Below are 18,140 nucleotides of genomic sequence, written 5' to 3' on the forward strand. Positions count from 1 at the left end.
GAGAGATCCACTGTTAGTCTGATGGGCTTCCCTTTGTGAGTAACCCGACCTTTCTCTCTGGCTGCCCTTAACATTTTTTCCTTCATTTCAACGTTGGTGAATCTGACAATTATGTGTTGTGGGGTTGCTCTTCTCGAGGAGTATCTTTGTGATATTCTCTGTATTTCCTGAATTTGAATGTTGGCCTGTCTTGCTAGGTTGGGGAAGTTCTTCTGGATAATATCCTGAAGAGTGTTTTCCAACTTGGTTCCATTCTCCCCATCACTTTCAGGTACGCCAATCAAACGTAGGTTTGGTCTTTTGACATAGTCCCATATTTCTTGGAGGCTTTTTTCATTCCTTTTCATTCTTTCTTCTCTAATCTTGTCTTCACACTTTATTTCATTAGATTTATCTTCAATCTCCGATATCCTTTCTTCCACTTGATCAATTTGGCTATTGATACTTGTGTATGCTTCACGATGTTCTCATGCTGTGTTTTTCAGCTACATCAGGTTATTTATTTTCTTTCTAAGCTGGTTATTCTACTTAGCAACTCCTCTAACCTTTTTTCAAGGTTCTTAGCTTCCTTACATTGGGTTAGAACATGCTCCGTTAGCTCTGAGGAGTTTGTTATTACCTACCCTCTGAAGCCTACTTCTGCCAATTTGTCAAACTCATTATCTGTCCAGTTTTGTTCCCTTGTTGGCAAGGAGTTGTGATCCTTTGGAGAAGAGGCATTCTGGTTTTTGGAATTTTCAGCCTTTTTGCACTGGTTTTTCCTCAGCCTCGTGGATTTATCTATCTTTGGTCTTTGATGTTGGTGACCTTCAGATGGGGTTTCTGTGTGGATGTCCTTTTTGTTGATGTTGATGCTATTCCTTTCTGTTTGTTAGTTTTCCTTCTAACAGTCAGGACCCTCTGCTGCAGGTCTGCTGGAATTTGCTGGAGGTCCACTCCAGACCCTGTTTGCCTGGGTATCACCAGCAGAGGCCGCAGAACAGCAAAGATTGCCGCCTGTTCCTTCCTCTGGAAGCTTTGTCCCAGAGGGGCTCCTGCCAGATGCCAGCTGGAGCTCTCCTGTATGAGGTGTCTGTTGACCCCTGCTGGGAGGTATCTCCCAGTAAGGAGGCACAGGGGTCAGGGACCCACTTGAGGAGGTAGTCTGACCCTTAGGAGAGCTTGAGCACTGTTCTGGGAGATCTGCTGTCCTCTTCAGAGCCAGCAGGCAGGAACGTTCAAGTCTACTGAAACTGTGCCCACAGCCGCCCCTTCCCCCAGGTGCTCTGTCCCAGGGAGATGGGAGTTTTATCCAAAAGCCCCTAACTGGGGCTGCTGCCTTTCTTTCAGAGATGCCCTGCCCAGAGAGGAGGAATCTAGAGAGGCGGTCTGGCTACAGAGGCTTTGCCGAGCTGCAGTGGGTTCCGCCCAGTTCAAACTTCTGGGCACCTTTGTTTATACTGTGAGCGGAAAACCACCTACTCAAGCCTCAGTAATGGCAGACACCCCTCCCCCCACACCAAGCTCAAGTATCCCAGGTCAACTTCAGACTGCTGTGCTGGCAGCAAGAATTTCAAGCCAGTGGATCTTAGCTTGCTGGGCTCCGTGGGGGTGGGATCCACTGAGCTAGACCACTTGGCTCCCTGGCTTCAGCCCCCTTTCCAGAAGAGTGAACAGTTCTGTCTCGCTGGCATTCCAGGCGCCACTGAGGTATGAAAAAAAAAACTCCTGCAGCTAGCTCGGTGTCTGCCCAAACGGCCGCCCAGTTTTGTCCTTGAAACCCAGGGCCCTGGTGGCGTAGGCACCAGAGGGAATCTCCTGGTCTGCAGGTTTGAAGACCATGGGAAAAGCGTAGTATCTGGGCTGAAGTGCACCATTCCTCAAGGTGCAGTCCCTTATAGCTTCCCTTGGCTAGGGGAGGGAGTTCCCCAACCCCTTGCACTTCCCTGGTGAGGCAATGCCCCATCCTGCTTCAACTTGACCTCCAGGGGCTGCACCCACTGTCTAACCAGTCCCAGTGAGAAGAGCCGGGTACCTCGGTTGGAAATGCAGAAATCACCCGCCTTCCACGTTGATCTCGCTGGGAGCTGGAGACCAGAGCTGTTCCTATTCGGCCATCTTGCCAGCCACACCTCCACGTCTGAGCTAATGAATCTTTTTACTTTACATATTATAGTCTGTCATTTCTAGAATTTTCATTTGGTTTTGTATATATAGCTCACTGCTGAGAATTCCTCTTTCCATTGATTTCAAGAGTGTCTGCCTTTATAGTACATGGTTGCAGTAGCTGCTTTAAAGTATTTAAGAATCCCTACAACTGGGTCATTTTGGGGGTATCTATTGATTATCTTTTCCCTTGAAAATTTCCAAGTTTTTTCCAATCAACAGATACCAACCCCAAAATGACACACTTGTAGAGATTAACATTGGTTCAATGGAATCAATTTCCTTTCCTGGTTGACTGGTTTTGGATTGTATCCTGCATATTTTGATTATGTCATGAGACTCTGGATCCTATTAAAAGCCTCTGGGGACTACTGACTTTTTTGTTTTAGCAAGGAATCAACCCAGTTAGTTTCAGATTACAAGTTCTGCCTCGCCTTCTGTGCATATTGATTCCAATGTCAGTTTATACTTCAAAGCTTTTGCTATGCTTCTTTAGGAATAGTCCATACATGTAGTGCTTTGGTAAATTATCCATTCCTCCATGTCTTTCCTCATATCTTTTTTCCCATACCATCTGGCAGTCAAAGACACCTTTCCCAGGTCGTCAGCCAGAAATATGGGGTTCTCTCAAGAGTTTCAGCTCCCTGTACTATGCAAGTGGGCCCACCTTCATGATGAAGAGGTAAGAAAAGATAGAAAGAAAAAATAATGATGTGGCTTTTCCCCCACTCTTCACCCAACAGCCGTCCCTTTTCTCAGTGGTAGGTTTCTTCCGAGGGTTTTAAGTGCTCACAACATTGCTGTCGTATCCTAGTAAAGTTGTTCCACAACTAGGGCTGACCTCAGGACGGGAAAGAAAACAAGAAAAACACAAACAAACAAACAAACAAGGATTCTCCCCCAGCTCTCCAGCTTGCAGTCACCACCAACCTTTTTTTTTTTTTTTTTTTTTTTGTAAACTGTGCTCAGGCCAGAGAGATGGGCTTCTTTCTCAGTCTCTATTGACCACACCTACTATATAGTTCCCTGATTCAGTCTGCCCTTGGGTCAAACTCAAGGTATAAAGATGAAAATTAACCATGAAACTCACTGTTGCTATATTGGTCATTCATTAAGTATTGTTTTCTCTCCCTAATTCACCTACTATATTTACTATTTGGAGGCTTCAGGTAATTGTTTTTGTTTTTTTGTCCAGGGTTGTTATTTATTATTATTATTATTATTTATTATTTGTAATCACTGGGAAAGATGGGCTCCAGTAGCTTTATTTCATCTTGGCTAGAATTAGAAGTCTCCTGGCTTTCCCTTTTATTCACTGTTGTTCATTTCACTAGGCTTTAGAGAAGGAAGTTTTGAGACGTGGCATCACTTCATCATCTTTCCTGAAAAGTCTGCCCCAATTTCATTTTAAAATAAAATAAGTGTTAATCCAAATAAATCAGGAAAGTTGGCTTGCAAACTGGGCAGGAAAAAGAGAAGGGAAGTAGGAGACAGAAAGGTTTCTCAACACACATTAACACACCTTTCTCCACTTCTGCCTGTGTGAGTGCTTTCCTGAGGTAGAGAGGGAAATAAATAATCCTTCTGATTCCAACTCCCTTGCTTGAAGAGAGAAAATGGATTATCTTTTAACTCATGCAACACTTTTATTGCATGTCTAATAATACAAAGCACTTTTCCAGGTATTGATGATACAAAGTTATATGTGTTTCTTTCTCTCAAAGAATTAATAATTCAGAAGGCAGAAAAACTATGCAAATAATTATAGTACAATATATTAAAATACTAGAACAGAGGTTAAAAAAAAAAATCAAGTGTTAGAACAACCGAGGCTAGGGGTAGTGGCTCTCACCTGTAATTCCAGCACTTTGGGAGGCTGAGATGAGAGGACTGCTTGAGGTCAGGAGTTCAAGACCAACCTAATCAACATAGCAAGACCCTACCTCTCAAAAAAAAAAAAAAAAAAAAGAGAACAACAGAGAAGACAATGACTAATCTGTCAAGAAAGAAGAAGAAGGAAGTCAGTACCTATAATGACATGTATTTGAGCTATGTGGAAAAGGCAACAGAATAATTCCAGGCACAGGGAGAAGCATGTACAAATATAAAGGGTATCAAAGAGCATGATGAGTTTGGGAAAGAACTACAGCACTGATATGAACCCTAGGGAATACCAATATTTAGATGACAGGCAGAAGAAAACCAGCCACTTCTGAGCTATCATAGGATAAAATGGAGAAATCAAAGAGGAGAGGAAATCCAGGACTATGGTTTCTGAAAGCCAAAGATGGTACAACTCCAGGAAGTATTTAACCATGTTAAAACTGGGAAAGAGGTCAGGTAAAATGTGGACAGAAAATTAACTTTTAAAATTAACTAAGTAAGAAGTTACTGGAAATCTTTGAGAGGAGTTTCACTACAGTGGTGGTTAAGTCATAATAGTATCTCATTTTCTTGTTCTAAACCATTTCCTGGCAGTAAATCTTCAGAAGTAATTATTCAGGAACAGCTGCACCATTCAAATAGAAAAGTTGTTTCGGGCTTGTATATTTCTTACTAAGTGGATGAACTTAGCATTTAGTTTCCTTAGGAAGCACAAAGTATCTTTCTCCCCCTACCCGAATCCACACATTATCGGCACAATTGATTTCAAAACTGCCTAGCTGATAACAGTTTCTACAACCCATTTATTTCTTCCTAAACCATGGTCTTTGAATTTTTCATTTGATTTTCTGAAACCGGGACGTAACTTCTCACATACTGATGCCCACTCCCCAGAGTACTTCCTAATGTGAGTGATGGATCATTCCTCAGGACTCAATTCCAGAATTCTCAATTCTCTCAATTCTCAATTCCTCAATTCTCTCAATTCTCAATTCCTCAATTCTCTCAGGACTCAATTCCAGACTTTCACTGGGTGGGTGCCATCACATAAGGGTATGCCTTCTTGTAATGAGTAGAACAGTAAAATCAGGTTGTCAATATACATTTAGTTAGTTAAGACACTAACTACATCTCTTTTTTTTTTCACCGAGCTGTAATTTATACAATAAAATGGACAACTGAAATATTATGCTAAATCAGTTTTGGCAATTGTGATCATCTATGTAACCTCCATCCAAAATAAAAATACTGAACATTTCCATCACCCCAGAAAGTTCCCTCATGCCCATTTCCAATCAATTTCCTCTAACCCAGTAGACTTCTGACTTCTATCACCACAGATGAGTTTGGGGGCTGTTCTTGGAGTTTATACGAAGAGAATCATCCAGCATATATTCTTTTGTGTCTGTTTTCTTTCCAACATAAATGTTTTAGAAGTTTATCCATGTTGTTGCCTGAATCAGCAATTTTTTCCTTTTATTGCTGAGTAATAGTCTATTGCATGAATATACCACAATTTGTTCCTTCTTCTTTGATGAGCATTTGGGATGTTTCCAGTTTAGGGCTATCACAAATACGAGGGGACTTCAAAAAATCTGTGGAAAAATGGAATTAAAAAATAAACCTAACGGCTGAGCACAGTAGCTCACGCCTGTAAGCCCAGCACTTTGGGAGGCCAAGACGGGCAGATCACTTGAGGTCAGGAGTTTGAGACCAGCCCGGCCAACATGGTGAAACCACATCTCTACTAAAAATACAAAAATTAGCTGGGCGTGGTGGCACACAGCTGTAATCCCAGCTACTTGGAAGGCTTAAGCCTGGGAGGCGGAGGCTGCAGTGAGCCAAGGGCACACCATTCCACTCCAGCCTGTGTGACAGAACAAGACTCCGTCTCAAAACAAAAACAAAAACTATAGGCCGGGCGCGGTGGCTCCCAGCACTTTGGGAGGCCGAGGCGGGCGGATCATGAGGTCAGGAGATCGAGACCATCCTGGCTAACATGGTGAAACCCCGTCTCTACTAAAAATACAAATATTAGCCAGGCGTGGTGGCGGGCACCTGTAGTCCCAGCTACTCGGGAGGCTGAGGCAGTAGGATGGCATGAACCCGGGAGGCGGAGCTTGCACTGAGCCAAGATCGCGCCACTGCACTCCAGCCTGGGCGACAGAGCGAGACTGTGTCTCAAAAAAAAAAAAACCCACAAAAACTATAAATTTTATTTATCGACATAGCTCCATCAAGTTCAAGACACATTTTAAAGTGATGATACCAGTCATTTAGTCCATCCCTAAACAATTGAAGTTGCTGGGAATGTAAGCATGTCAATGCAGTCATTTTTACATTATTATTATTTTTTTAAGGAGCCAGGAGTAGATAACTTTGTTTATATGGGGATTAAGATAGTTGCTCTGATGTTGGTTTGAGAACTTCAACTTCAACGTTCGGGGTTCTCTTTTAACTCAAGGCCAAGCTTGTAAATTAAGCTGCCTTAAAGAAAAAAGAAGGACTGCAGATAAAAGAAGGGAATGGGAAAAATAAACACAGACTTTTAAGAATGAGTAACAAGCTACGCATCGTGGTTTACGCCTGTGATCCCAGCACTTTGGGAGGCCAAGGCATGTCAGAGGATCCTCTGAGGCCAGGAGTTCAAGACCAGATAGGCAACATAACAAGACCCCATCTCTATTTAAAAAAAACACACACACAAATTAACTGGAGGCGGTGATACACACCTGTAGTCCTGGCTACTCAGGAGGCTGAGGTGGGAGGATAACTTGAGCCCAGAAGTTGGAGGTTGCAGTGATCTGTGATCACACCACTGCACTCCAGCCTGGGTGACAGAGAGAGACCCTATCTCAGAAAAATAAAAGAAATGAGCAGCAGTGCAAAGATCATTGGGAAATTCTTAGCCAAAAACAACTTTGGCAGTTTGGTTAGAGGAAAAAGTCTCTCTCCGATTCTATTACTTAGAATCTATTAATTAGAGAATGAATCCCTAAATAGGTTTCATTTATTCTTGGTATCTGTTTTAAAACAAAAAACAAAAAACTCCACAATCTTGGACTCACGTCAATCTAATAATCATTTTGGGGGTGGAAAGGGCTACTTTGTCCCAGGCCCATGGCTACTTTTAGGATAAGTTCTCTTTTCAGAAAGAGAAACACTAGGTATGACTAGTATCCCTTTTGCATCTAATCACTTTGTGGGATGGCAGATGGTTCTAGGTTAGGAGTTCCCAAGCTCTAGTCTACTTTGAACACTCTTCAGACCATAGTAGAAAGTTAGCCCTTTTCTAGGAACAAAGTGGGTACCTAGGAACAAATTCAGGTATGTCCGGTGAAGATAGGGCTGCTCAAATCAATTCAAATAGCAACTAAAAATGACAACCAAGGTTGTCACATAGTGATCAAGGTGCTCCATCTACCATTTAAGTAGATGTAAAAGTTCACTTTCATGCAGTTGGTATAGTCCTTTGGCGAGAGTTAAAGGGGGATAAATAGTGTCTTCCATACTGAACAGGCCTGTTAAGTGAATACCTTGGAAGCTATTTCCTTGGAAGCTGACTTTTGCTTTCCTTTTACTTCAGTTAGCATCAGGAACTCATTGCCTTGTTGGTGCCAGATATTTCCCAATTCTGTCTTCAGAAGAGTCTGCTATTAAGAAATGCTGGCCGGGCGCAGTGGCTCACGCCTGTAATCCCAGCATTTTGGGAGGCCGAGGCAGGCAGATCACCTGAGGTCACAAGTTCGAGACCAACCTGGCCAATATGGTGAAACCCCTTCTCTACTAAAAATACAAAAATTAGCCGGGTGTGGTGGCAGGTGCCTGTAATCCCAGCTACTCAGGAGGCTGAGGCAGGAGAATCGCTTGAACCCAGGAGGCAGAGATTGCAGCGAGATGAGATCACACCATTGCACTCCAGCCTGGGGGACAAGAGCGAGACTTCATCCCAAAAACAAAAAAAAAAAAAAAAAGAAAAGAAATGCTTAAGCATCCATTTTTTCAGGTGACTGGAAAAAGCAGGAAAATTAGTGTTCACAGTAAGAAAATATGGTCCTCATGCTTCCACGTATTCAGAGAGTACCCCCTTTCCAGAATGAGCTACTCGGCTGTGTGAGAAAGGCTCTTGTTCATCCAGCTTTGGCAAAGAGATATTACCTGGGGGGCCACAAAATACTCCTTCACGACGCAATGGGAGTTTTGTAGTAATTCTTCAGCACAGTTGCCTTCTACTACATTGTTAGATCTCAGGTATAGACATCTGCCCTCCAGGACCGACTCCATGGGCTCCACCCGTCGGTGTCCATGGGGTGGAGCCCATGGGCGAAGATGATGTCTTTCTCCAACCGGACCACTGCCTCGAGACTGCCAAAATCCACAGGCACTAGAGGCTCCAGGGGCTCAATCACCTCAATCATGATCCGGCCACTGCCTTGGAGGTGAAGCCCCGGCACCCACCCAGCCACATCCCCCACGCTCACCCATTTTTCCATTATTAACTGAAGAAACATGGGTGCTCTTTAGAGATTTTTTTCAAGATTAGGAAGCAAAAGAAAGAAGCCAGATAAGAACTCTAAGGTGGATGCCTACGGACACTCTTGCAAAATTGCCCTTGTTTGATGAGACAAATGAACAGACACTGTCACGGTGGAGAAGGACTCTCTGGTGAAGCTTTCCCAAGTGTTTTTCTACTAAAGCTTTGGCCAACTTTCTCTAAATACTCTCATAATAAGCTATTATCATTACTTGGCCCTCCAGAAAGTGAACAAGCAAAATCCCTCAAGCATCTCCAAAAACTGTTGCCCTGTTTTTGACAGGTCCACTTTTGCTTTGACTGGACCACTTCCACTTCCACCTCTTGGTAGCTATTGCTTTGATCATACTTTGTCTTCAGGATTGGACTGCTAGCCACATTTCTTCTCCCGTTATAATTCCTCAAGGAAATGTCTCAGGATCTTGATCTCACTTGTTTAAAACTTCCACTTAAAGCTCTGCTCTTGCCTGCAGCCAATCTAGATGCAATAGTTTTGACATCCATTAAATAGTTTGCTCAACTTTAATTTTATCAGTCAGAATTGGGTAAGGCTGAACCAAATGAGGTGTCCATACATTGGCTATTGCTGCTGTTAATCATCAGTTTTACAAATTGATGTAGATGGTCTGCTGCTGAAGACGAAGGGCTTCATGGTTAACATTGTCTCATCCCTTCTTAATACAACTTATCCATTTGTAAACTGCTGATTTCTTTGGGTCACTATTGCCATGCTTTTTTGTAACACATCGATAATTTCACCATTCTTCTACCCAAAGTTCACCATAAATGTAATGTTTGTTCTTGTTTCAATTTTAGCAGAATTGATGTTGCTCTGAAATGGATTATTTTCAAACGGATGTATTAGTGTCTCAAGCTAGTTACTGTTCGGACATGTTATTAACAAGTTAGTCATGAGTTTATATTTTAGTGCAAAAAAATTTTGAATTCTGATATGGTTTGGCTCTGTCATCTCCACCGAAATCTCATCTCGAATTGCAATCCCCACGTGTTGAGGGAGGTAGGTGATTGGATCATGGGGGCAGTTTCTCCCATGCTGTTTTTGTGATAGTGAGTTCTCATGAGATCTGATAGTTTTATAAATGGCAGTTTTTGCTGTGCTTTCACTCTTTTCTCTCTCTTGCCACCATGTAAGATGTGCCTGCTTCCCCTTCTGCCATGATTGTAAGTTTCCTGAGGCCTCCCCCAGCCACGCGGAACTGTGAGTCAATTACACCCCTTTCCTTTATAAATTACCCAGTCTCGGATAGTGTGTGTTTGTGTGTGTATATATATATACGTATATATATATATGCATATATATATGTGTATATATATATGTATATATATATATGTGTATATATATATGTATATATATATATGTGTATATATATATTTATTTATTTATTTATTTTTAAGATGGAATCTCGCTCTGTCACCCAGGCTGGAGTGCAGTGGTGAGATCCTGGCTCACTGCAATCTCTGCCTCCCAGGTTCAAGCGACTCTCCTGTCACAGCTTCCTGAGTAGCTGAGACTACAGGCGTGTGCCACCACATCAAGCTAATTTTTGTATTTTTATATGGGGTTTCCCCATGTTGGCCAGGCTGGTCTCAAACTCCTGACCTAAAGTGATCCGCCCCACCTCAGCCACCCATAGTGCTGGGATTACAGGTGTGAGGCACTGTGCCTGGCCTCAGGTAGTATCTTTATAGCAGTATGAAAATGGACTAATACAAACTCCATGGATATTTTTTCATAACACACATTTCCCACAAACTTTTTGAAGAACCCTCATAAGGCTGTTATGACATTCTTGTACAGTCTTTTTTGTGGCCATATATGTATTCATTTTCCTTGAGTAAATACCTAGAAGGGGTATTACTGGTCACAGGGCAGGTATATAATTAACTTTATAAGAAACTGCCAAAACTTTTCTACGGTGGTTGTATCATTCTACATTCCTATCTACAGTGTATGGGAGTTTCAATTGTTCCAAATGTTCGATATTGGAATAGGCTTTTTTATTTTGGTATTGTCAAGCTTTTTTGTTGTAACCATTCTAGTGGGTATGCTGTACCTCATTAAGATTTTTTTTTTTTTTTTTCGAGACGAAGTCTCACTCGGTCGCCCAGGCTGGAGTGCAGTGGCATGATCTCGGCTCACCACAACCTCCGCCTCCCGGGTTCAAGCAATTCTCCTGCCTCAGCCTCCTGAGTAGCTGGGACTACAGATGCCTGCCACCACGCCCAGCTAATTTTTTGTATTTTTAGTAGAGACAGGGTTTCACCGTGTTAGCCAGGACGGTCTCGATCTCCTGACCTCATGATCCACCCACCTCGGCCTCCCAAAGTGCTGGGATTACACGCGTGAGCCACCGTGCCCAGCCTATCTCACTAAGATTTTAATTTGCATTTCCCTGATGACTAATAATGTTAAGAACATTGTGCTTATTGGCCATTTGCATATATTCTTTTGTGAAGTATGTGCCTTCAGATTTTTTTAATCTCCATGGTTTCTTGCCAAGCCAACAAATTTTCTATGCATACAGAAAGGTCATCTATAATATTAGTTTTCTATTCCTGCTGTAACAAATTACCACAATTAGTGGCTTAAAACAACATGAATTTATTATTTTCAGTTCTGTAGATTAGAAGTCCAACATAAGTCTCACTGGGCTAAAATCACTGTGTCATTAGGGCTATGTCCATTTCACAAGCAAAATACATTCATTCACCCCCTTCCAAGATCCCCCCAAAGTCTCAACACACTGCAGCATCAATTCAAAGTCCAAAATCTCATCTAAATCTCATGGACTCAAAAATCTCAATCTTATTATCAAAATCTAAATTTGGTGTGGGTGAGACTCTTGGTATAATCCATCCTGAGGCAAAATTCCTCTCCATCTTCGGACCTACGGAATTAGAAAAGAAATCCCCTGCTCCCAAAATACAAGGACGGGACTGCCGTAGGATATAGTTACAGATATTCCCATTCAAAATGAAAGAAAGTGAAAGGGAAGACATCATTGGTCCCAAGCAATTCTGAAATCCAGTTAGGCAACCTGGAATAGGTCTCTGCACGGGCAGAATTCTGTAAAGTTCTCAGTTCCACCCTACAGGACTGCCCTTTTGCCCTCAGAGTCTTCCTTCCTTTTTCATAAAGGGTAACCAGCGTGTATTTAAAGCTGAGTAGTTTCATCGGCTTGTTTCCTGCCTATAGAATTTGGGGCTCTGATAGCCTTCTTTCACTTCATCCTCTCATTTCTTTTCTAATTCCATAGGTCCACAGATGAAGAGGAATTTTGCCTCCTCTTTGAGTCTTTCACTTCATCCTCTCTCTCTAGCTCTGAGTTGCTGCTGACGTAGAATTCTCAAAAACCTTGTGGGTCTACTGTATAAGTACAGAGACTCACTCCATTAGACAAGAGGCTCCTCCACAGATCTTGCCTAGATAATCCCATCTCTATTTCTGGCTTCTACTTAGATGCTAAGGGAATCTATGAGTCACACCCCTTGATCTCTTCAGTGTTTTGTGTGAGTGAATGCTCTGACCTTTTCATCTTTCTGAGGTTTCAGCAAAAGGTTGTGCAGTGACTCCTTTGGCTTTTTCTTTAGAGCACGTTTTCCTGACCGTGAAACTCCTGACTTTAGCACCCTTAGCCACTTGGGTAGACTAAGAATTTCCAAAATCATCAAGCCCTGGTTCCTTTTTGTTTAACAGGTCTCTTCTTGACTTATTTCTCTACTTTCAATTTTACTATTAGTGGCAAAAAGAAACTAGGCCATAACTAGGCCATAACTTCAACACTTTGCTTGGAAATCTCTTCAGTTAAACATCCAAGTTCACTGTTTGTAAGTCCTCCTTTCCATGTAATTGCAGTATACAAGCCTGATGAGCTTTCTGCCACTATAACAGGGATCCCTTTTCCTCTAATTCCCAACATTTTCCTCTGAGCCAGCACCTTTAATGCATTTCCACCATCTGTTCACAATGATTTAGGTATTCTCTAAGATGATAAATGTTTTCTCTATCCTGCTGCTCACTTTTTTCTAAGTCTAATAGAGTCATTAACATCCATATTTCTATTGTCATGGCAATCTAGGCGTTTTCTATCTTGCACCTCAAAATTCTTCCAGATGTGCTCACTGCATAATTCCAAAGCTACTTCCACATTTTTAGGTATTTGTTACGGCAGCACCCCACTTCCAGGTACCAAAATCTGCATTAGTCTTCTATTGCTGCTGTAACAAAGTACCACAAACTTAGAGGAAAATACAACATTCATTTCTTTATCTTACAGTTATAAAAGTTAGAAGTCCAACACTTGTCTCACTGGGCTAAAATCAAGATATCGGTAGGGCTACAGTCCTTTCCGGAGGCTAGAAGGGTGAATCCTTGCTTTTTCCAGTCTCTAGAGGTTACCACATTCCTTGACTCATGGCCCTCTTCCCCCATCTCCAAATCCAGCAACACTGCATCTCTGACCTTGTTTCCATCATCACATCTCTTACTGACGCCTCTTCTGCATCCCACTTCCATTTTTAAGAAGTGTAGTCCTTAAAGGGCCCACCTGAATGATCCAAAATAATCTCCCTATCTGCTGTTTTGCAATCTTAATTCCCTTTTGCCATGTAATGTACATATTCACAGGTCCTAGGAATTGGGACGTGGACATCTTTGGGTCACTATTATCCTGCCTACCACAACTACTAATCACTTAAAATGAACTATTAATAGAAATACACCATAATTCAAGGTAGCCTAGCAAAACTCAGAGGCAAGTATTGACAGCGCTAAAAGAAACAAACAAAAAACTCTCAGTCAACAACTAATTTATTTTAAAATTTTCAAAATATTAGTGAATCTAGCAATCTAACTGAAGGTTTTCTGGGTTTTTTTGTTCATTTGTTTGTTTTTTTACTTGTGGTAGACACCATTAGTTAACTAATCCGACATCCATTTTCAACCCCTTCTCCCTTTTCTGTCCCTAATACTTGGGCTATAAAATACTAAATACTCACTTTCCTGGCTTCCTAAGGATAGTCATATAACACAGTTGTGCCAAGTGAAATCTAAAAATTGCCTTGGGAAAAGATATTAGATTCCTGATGAAAGAGGCAGATGGTGTGGCCTTCCCTGGCTTCCTTCCCAGGACCCCTCTAGCCTTGAATATGGTACATTGCCAGTAATTTGGGCATCTATTTTGCAACAATGGAGAATGTCCAAAGAATTCAAGAGACACTACCCTGACACTGCTGAATGACTGAGCCAACACCAGCTACTCCAAGCCTCTAGACTTACGATTATATGAGAAAAAATAAACTCCCATCTTGTTTATGTCACTGTTTACATCTGCTTTTCTGTTATTTTCAGCTGAAAGCTTTCCTAATTGAAACTACATTCCATACTACTACTGGTTAAACACAAGCACCCTCCTCTACAATTTATTATGTTATACAAAACCAGATTCACTTCAATGAGTTATAGTAATTAAAAAGGCAACTATTTTAAAAATAATGTTCATTACACACTTAGAACTATAAATTATATATACTTATTCTAGGACATTTGCAAATTATAAAAAGTTTAAAAGAAAATAAATATCAGCCACAATCCCAACTATCCAGAGATAAGTCTGTATAACTTCTATCCACATTTTTTATATATATACATAAAATGTTTTTTTTTTCTGAGACTGAGTCTCGCTCTGTCACCCAGGCTGGAGTGCAGTGGCACGATCTCGGCTCACCGCAATCTCCACCTCCCAGGCTCCAGCGATTCTCCCGCCTCAGCCTCCCAAGTAGCTGGAATTACAGGAGCGTGCTACCAATGCCTGGCTAATTTTTTTGTATTTTTTTTTTTTTTTTTTTTTTTTTTTTTTTTTGAGACGGAGTCTCGCTCTGTCCCCCAGGTCGGACTGCGGACTGCAGTGGCGCAATCTCGGCTCACTGCAAGCTCCGCTTCCCGGGTTCACGCCATTCTCCTGCCTCAGCCTCCCGAGTAGCTGGGACTACAGGCGCCCGCCACCGCGCCCGGCTAATTTTTTGTATTTTTAGTAGAGACGGGGTTTCACCTTGTTAGCCAGGATGGTCTCGATCTCCTGACCTCATGATCCACCCGCCTCGGCCTCCCAAAGTGCTGGGATTACAGGTGTGAGCCACCGCGCCCGGCCAATTTTTTTGTATTTTTAGTAGAGAAGGAGTTTCACCATGTTGGCCAGGTTGGTCTTGTCCTGACCTCAGATGATCCACCTGCGTCGGCCTCCCAAAGTGCTGGGATTACAGGCATGAGCCACCATGTCTGGCACATAAAATGTTCTTTAAAGTGAGACTATATGGAATACGTAGATTGACTCCAACCCCCATTTAGCACTTTATGAAGACTTATTTATATCAGATGTTTCAAAAATATCTCCAAATTTTAAAATATTTTATAATATGATGATATGGTTAATTAAATAATTTTATCAATGGTAGACACGTAAGTTGTTTGTCCTTTTTTCTACTGTAAATGGTGTTGCAACAAACATCAATATATATAAGTTTTTCTGTGTTATGTCTGATTATTTTCCAAGGATAGTTCCACAGATGTGGCCTTACTAGGTCAAAGGGATAAAGCCTTTCAATTATTCAATAAATGTTGCTAAATTACTTTCTAGAAAAATTGAATCAATTTATTACTCTGTCTCCTTTGTACAAGAGTATGTCTCCCTTACACAAGTACTGAATGCTGCCTGTTTGCTTTTTTGCCATTTTGATGAGTAAAAAATATTATACCTCATTCTTGAATTTTTAATTTATGTTTTTTGGTTACTAGTGAGAACGACTATCTAAAGACGTTTAGATCCTTTATATTGGTTATTTGATGAATTATCACTTGTTTCTTTTTAAAAGTTCTTTATATATTACAGATGCTAGCCTTTGATGTATTTGTTGTAAATATTTTATTTCAGTGCACGTTATCTTTTACTTTTTAGTTTTATCCATTTTTATGAAAATTTTGATGCACTCAAATCTATCAGTATTATCTTTTGTAACTTCTTCCTTTGCTTTATCAGATAAGGATGGCTTTCACATGATGAAAACTTCATTTTAGAAAAGAATGCTTTAAGATATTATATTCTTTTAAATTCCTATTGGCTTTCTTATGGTCAAAAAATGAAATCAACAGAAAGCAAACAGCAAATATATAAGTATCTCATCCTAGATTTTGACCATTTACATACCTGCTTGTGACAATTATCACATCCTCAGAGATGGTAGCCATTTCTTTGATGGTAAGGTAGCACATTCTCCTCAATGTTTGCTGAAAAATCATTTATAAAAGGTAACAGATTATTGATTAGGAAATGGTTTTTTAAATTATTTGAAGTGAGGACCCCAAGTAGATATATATTTTAGAAAGATATTCTTTAAAAGAGTCTCATCTACCAAAAAAAAAAATTAATATCTGGGTGAGAAACTATTCAGAATACTAATATTTCCTAAACACAACTGATGCATTGACACAATAGGTAAAAACTTAAAAATTCAATTATATGGATCTTTCTACTGAGAGATACAAACTTAGACTATGATAGCTTGAGTCCAAAGACAAAGGTTTTTTGTTTTGTCTTGTTTTGTTTTTTTGAGACAGAGTTACGCTCTGTTGCCTAGGCTGGAGTGCAATGGCGCAATCGTGGCTCACCACAACCTCCGCCTCCGGGGTTCAAGCAATTCTCCTGCCGCAGCCTCCTGGGTAGCTGGAATTACAGGCACTCACCACCACACCTGGCTAATTTTTGTATTTTTAGTAGAGACGGCGTACAGTATTAATTAAAGGCTCATTCCTGGAAAATGTGCAAACTCTGCACTTTCCTCAGTTCAGTGTATACCAATGTTTCCTCCTGAACCCTAAATGAGATTTCTAGATGAATACCTGGATCCAAGTAAGTACTAAGCTAACAATGCTCCACCTACTCTCCCCGACTCAACTGGATCTCTGATTTATTCATACACTATGGATAAATGGGCAGCAGCCAGACACCAGGTTCCTCTAGTCTGTCCAGCCTCATCCCTTACTGAGTAACCTCAAATTTCTTTTAAGTAGAGAAACCCAAATACATCAGACGCAGCTCCAGAGTCCAAGCTATGGAGAAAACCTTGATACTACTGAACCCATTAAGGAAAGAAAAGAGAGTGAGGATCCTCGTGGTGATTAAAAACAGAAAAAAAACACACACAGAAAGCCAGTATAGGCACACACATGGGGCAGATCAAAGCTACTATGAGAAGAAAACAAAAAATAAGAATCAAAATTTCAGGAACACCCCACCCCAATTTAAAGAAAAAAAAAGTTCTGTGAGAAGCAGAAGAAAACTAGAGATACGAAAAAAATTTCATTAAAACACAAAAAATGGGGGCTCAACATTATTAGTCATCAGGGAAATGAAAATTACTTATCCAATGAAAAATTAAAACCACGTTTCAGAAACTACCTCACACCCACCAAAATGGTGAAAATTCAAAAGACAAACAACACAAAATGTTGGCCAAAAATGTGCTCTTAACCACTAAAACATACTGCATAAACAAATACACAGAAATGCTGAATAAAATCAGAACAAAAATTTTAAATGTGTAGCCAAGGACAAAATAAAGAGAAATTCACAGATGCTAGAAATGAAGACAACCAAACATTCACAGCCACAGAAGGATCTTACTGGCATGGAATATAGTATCTAACATCTACCAAAATGAGGTTCTAAAAGGTATATTCTTCAAGCACAAGGAAAATCATTCCAGAGTAACTCAGAAATAGAGCAAGGAATGAAGAGTTTTTAAAAAGTGCTAAAGACAGGAGTAAGTCACAATGAGCAAACAAGACTCACAAGAAAATGATGGCATAGAATATATTAATGTAAATGTGCACGTGTGTATGTATATATACACATATGTTGATATACTCATATACGTATAAGGAATCAGAGTATCCTAAGACTCTCGAATTTCCCATGAGTAGGGAAAACACAAAGATGAGTATTTGATTTTGATAAGTCAAAAACCCATTGCAATTTTGAATATAAACAATAAAAAAACTTCCAAAGTATTACCCCACAGGTTGCTGATGCTCTGTTTATTTCTACTCTGTCTTTTTTTCCTCTCTGCTTTATTTTGGACTTCTACTGCTGTCTTCAATGACCCTGGGTTTTTTTGTTTGTTTGTTTGTTTGTCCTACATCTCTAATTTGCTATTAACCCCATGCAGTGTAGTTTTCATTTTATATATTTCTTTTCTTTTTTTTTAATTTTTGGGAAGTGTATTTGGATCTCTTTGTATCTCTCCTATTTTATGCTTTATTCTTGTTATGCCTTTCTTTACAACTTAAGCATATAGATCATGTTAATAGTTGTTTTAATGACATCATCTGCTCATTCCATCACCTTTACCATTTCTGGGTTTGTGTCTGCTGATCCATTTTTCTCCTGTTTATAGATAATATTTCCTGTTTATTTGCATATCTGATCATTTATTAGATGCTGCACATTGTGAAGTTTATTTTGGTGTATGATCTTAAATAGTATTGAACTCTATTCTGTCG

The 18,140-nt window shown here is 40.5% G+C and overlaps 1 protein-coding gene across 2 annotated transcripts in view; it reads right to left on the reverse strand.

The window, feature by feature from the left end:
* Positions 1–18,140, reverse strand: part of COPG2 (coat protein complex I subunit gamma 2) — a 162,511-nt gene that overhangs the window by 130,845 nt on the left and 13,526 nt on the right. For both annotated transcript variants that reach the window (NM_012133.6, NM_001290033.2), the window contains exon 5: positions 15,787–15,866. In NM_012133.6, the coding sequence (NP_036265.3) occupies positions 15,787–15,866 (80 nt within the window). The remainder of the gene's footprint in view (positions 1–15,786; positions 15,867–18,140) is intronic.

Source organism: Homo sapiens, chromosome 7 (assembly GCF_000001405.40).
Source record: "Homo sapiens chromosome 7, GRCh38.p14 Primary Assembly".
In the NCBI taxonomy this organism is placed as follows: domain Eukaryota; kingdom Metazoa; phylum Chordata; class Mammalia; order Primates; family Hominidae; genus Homo; species Homo sapiens.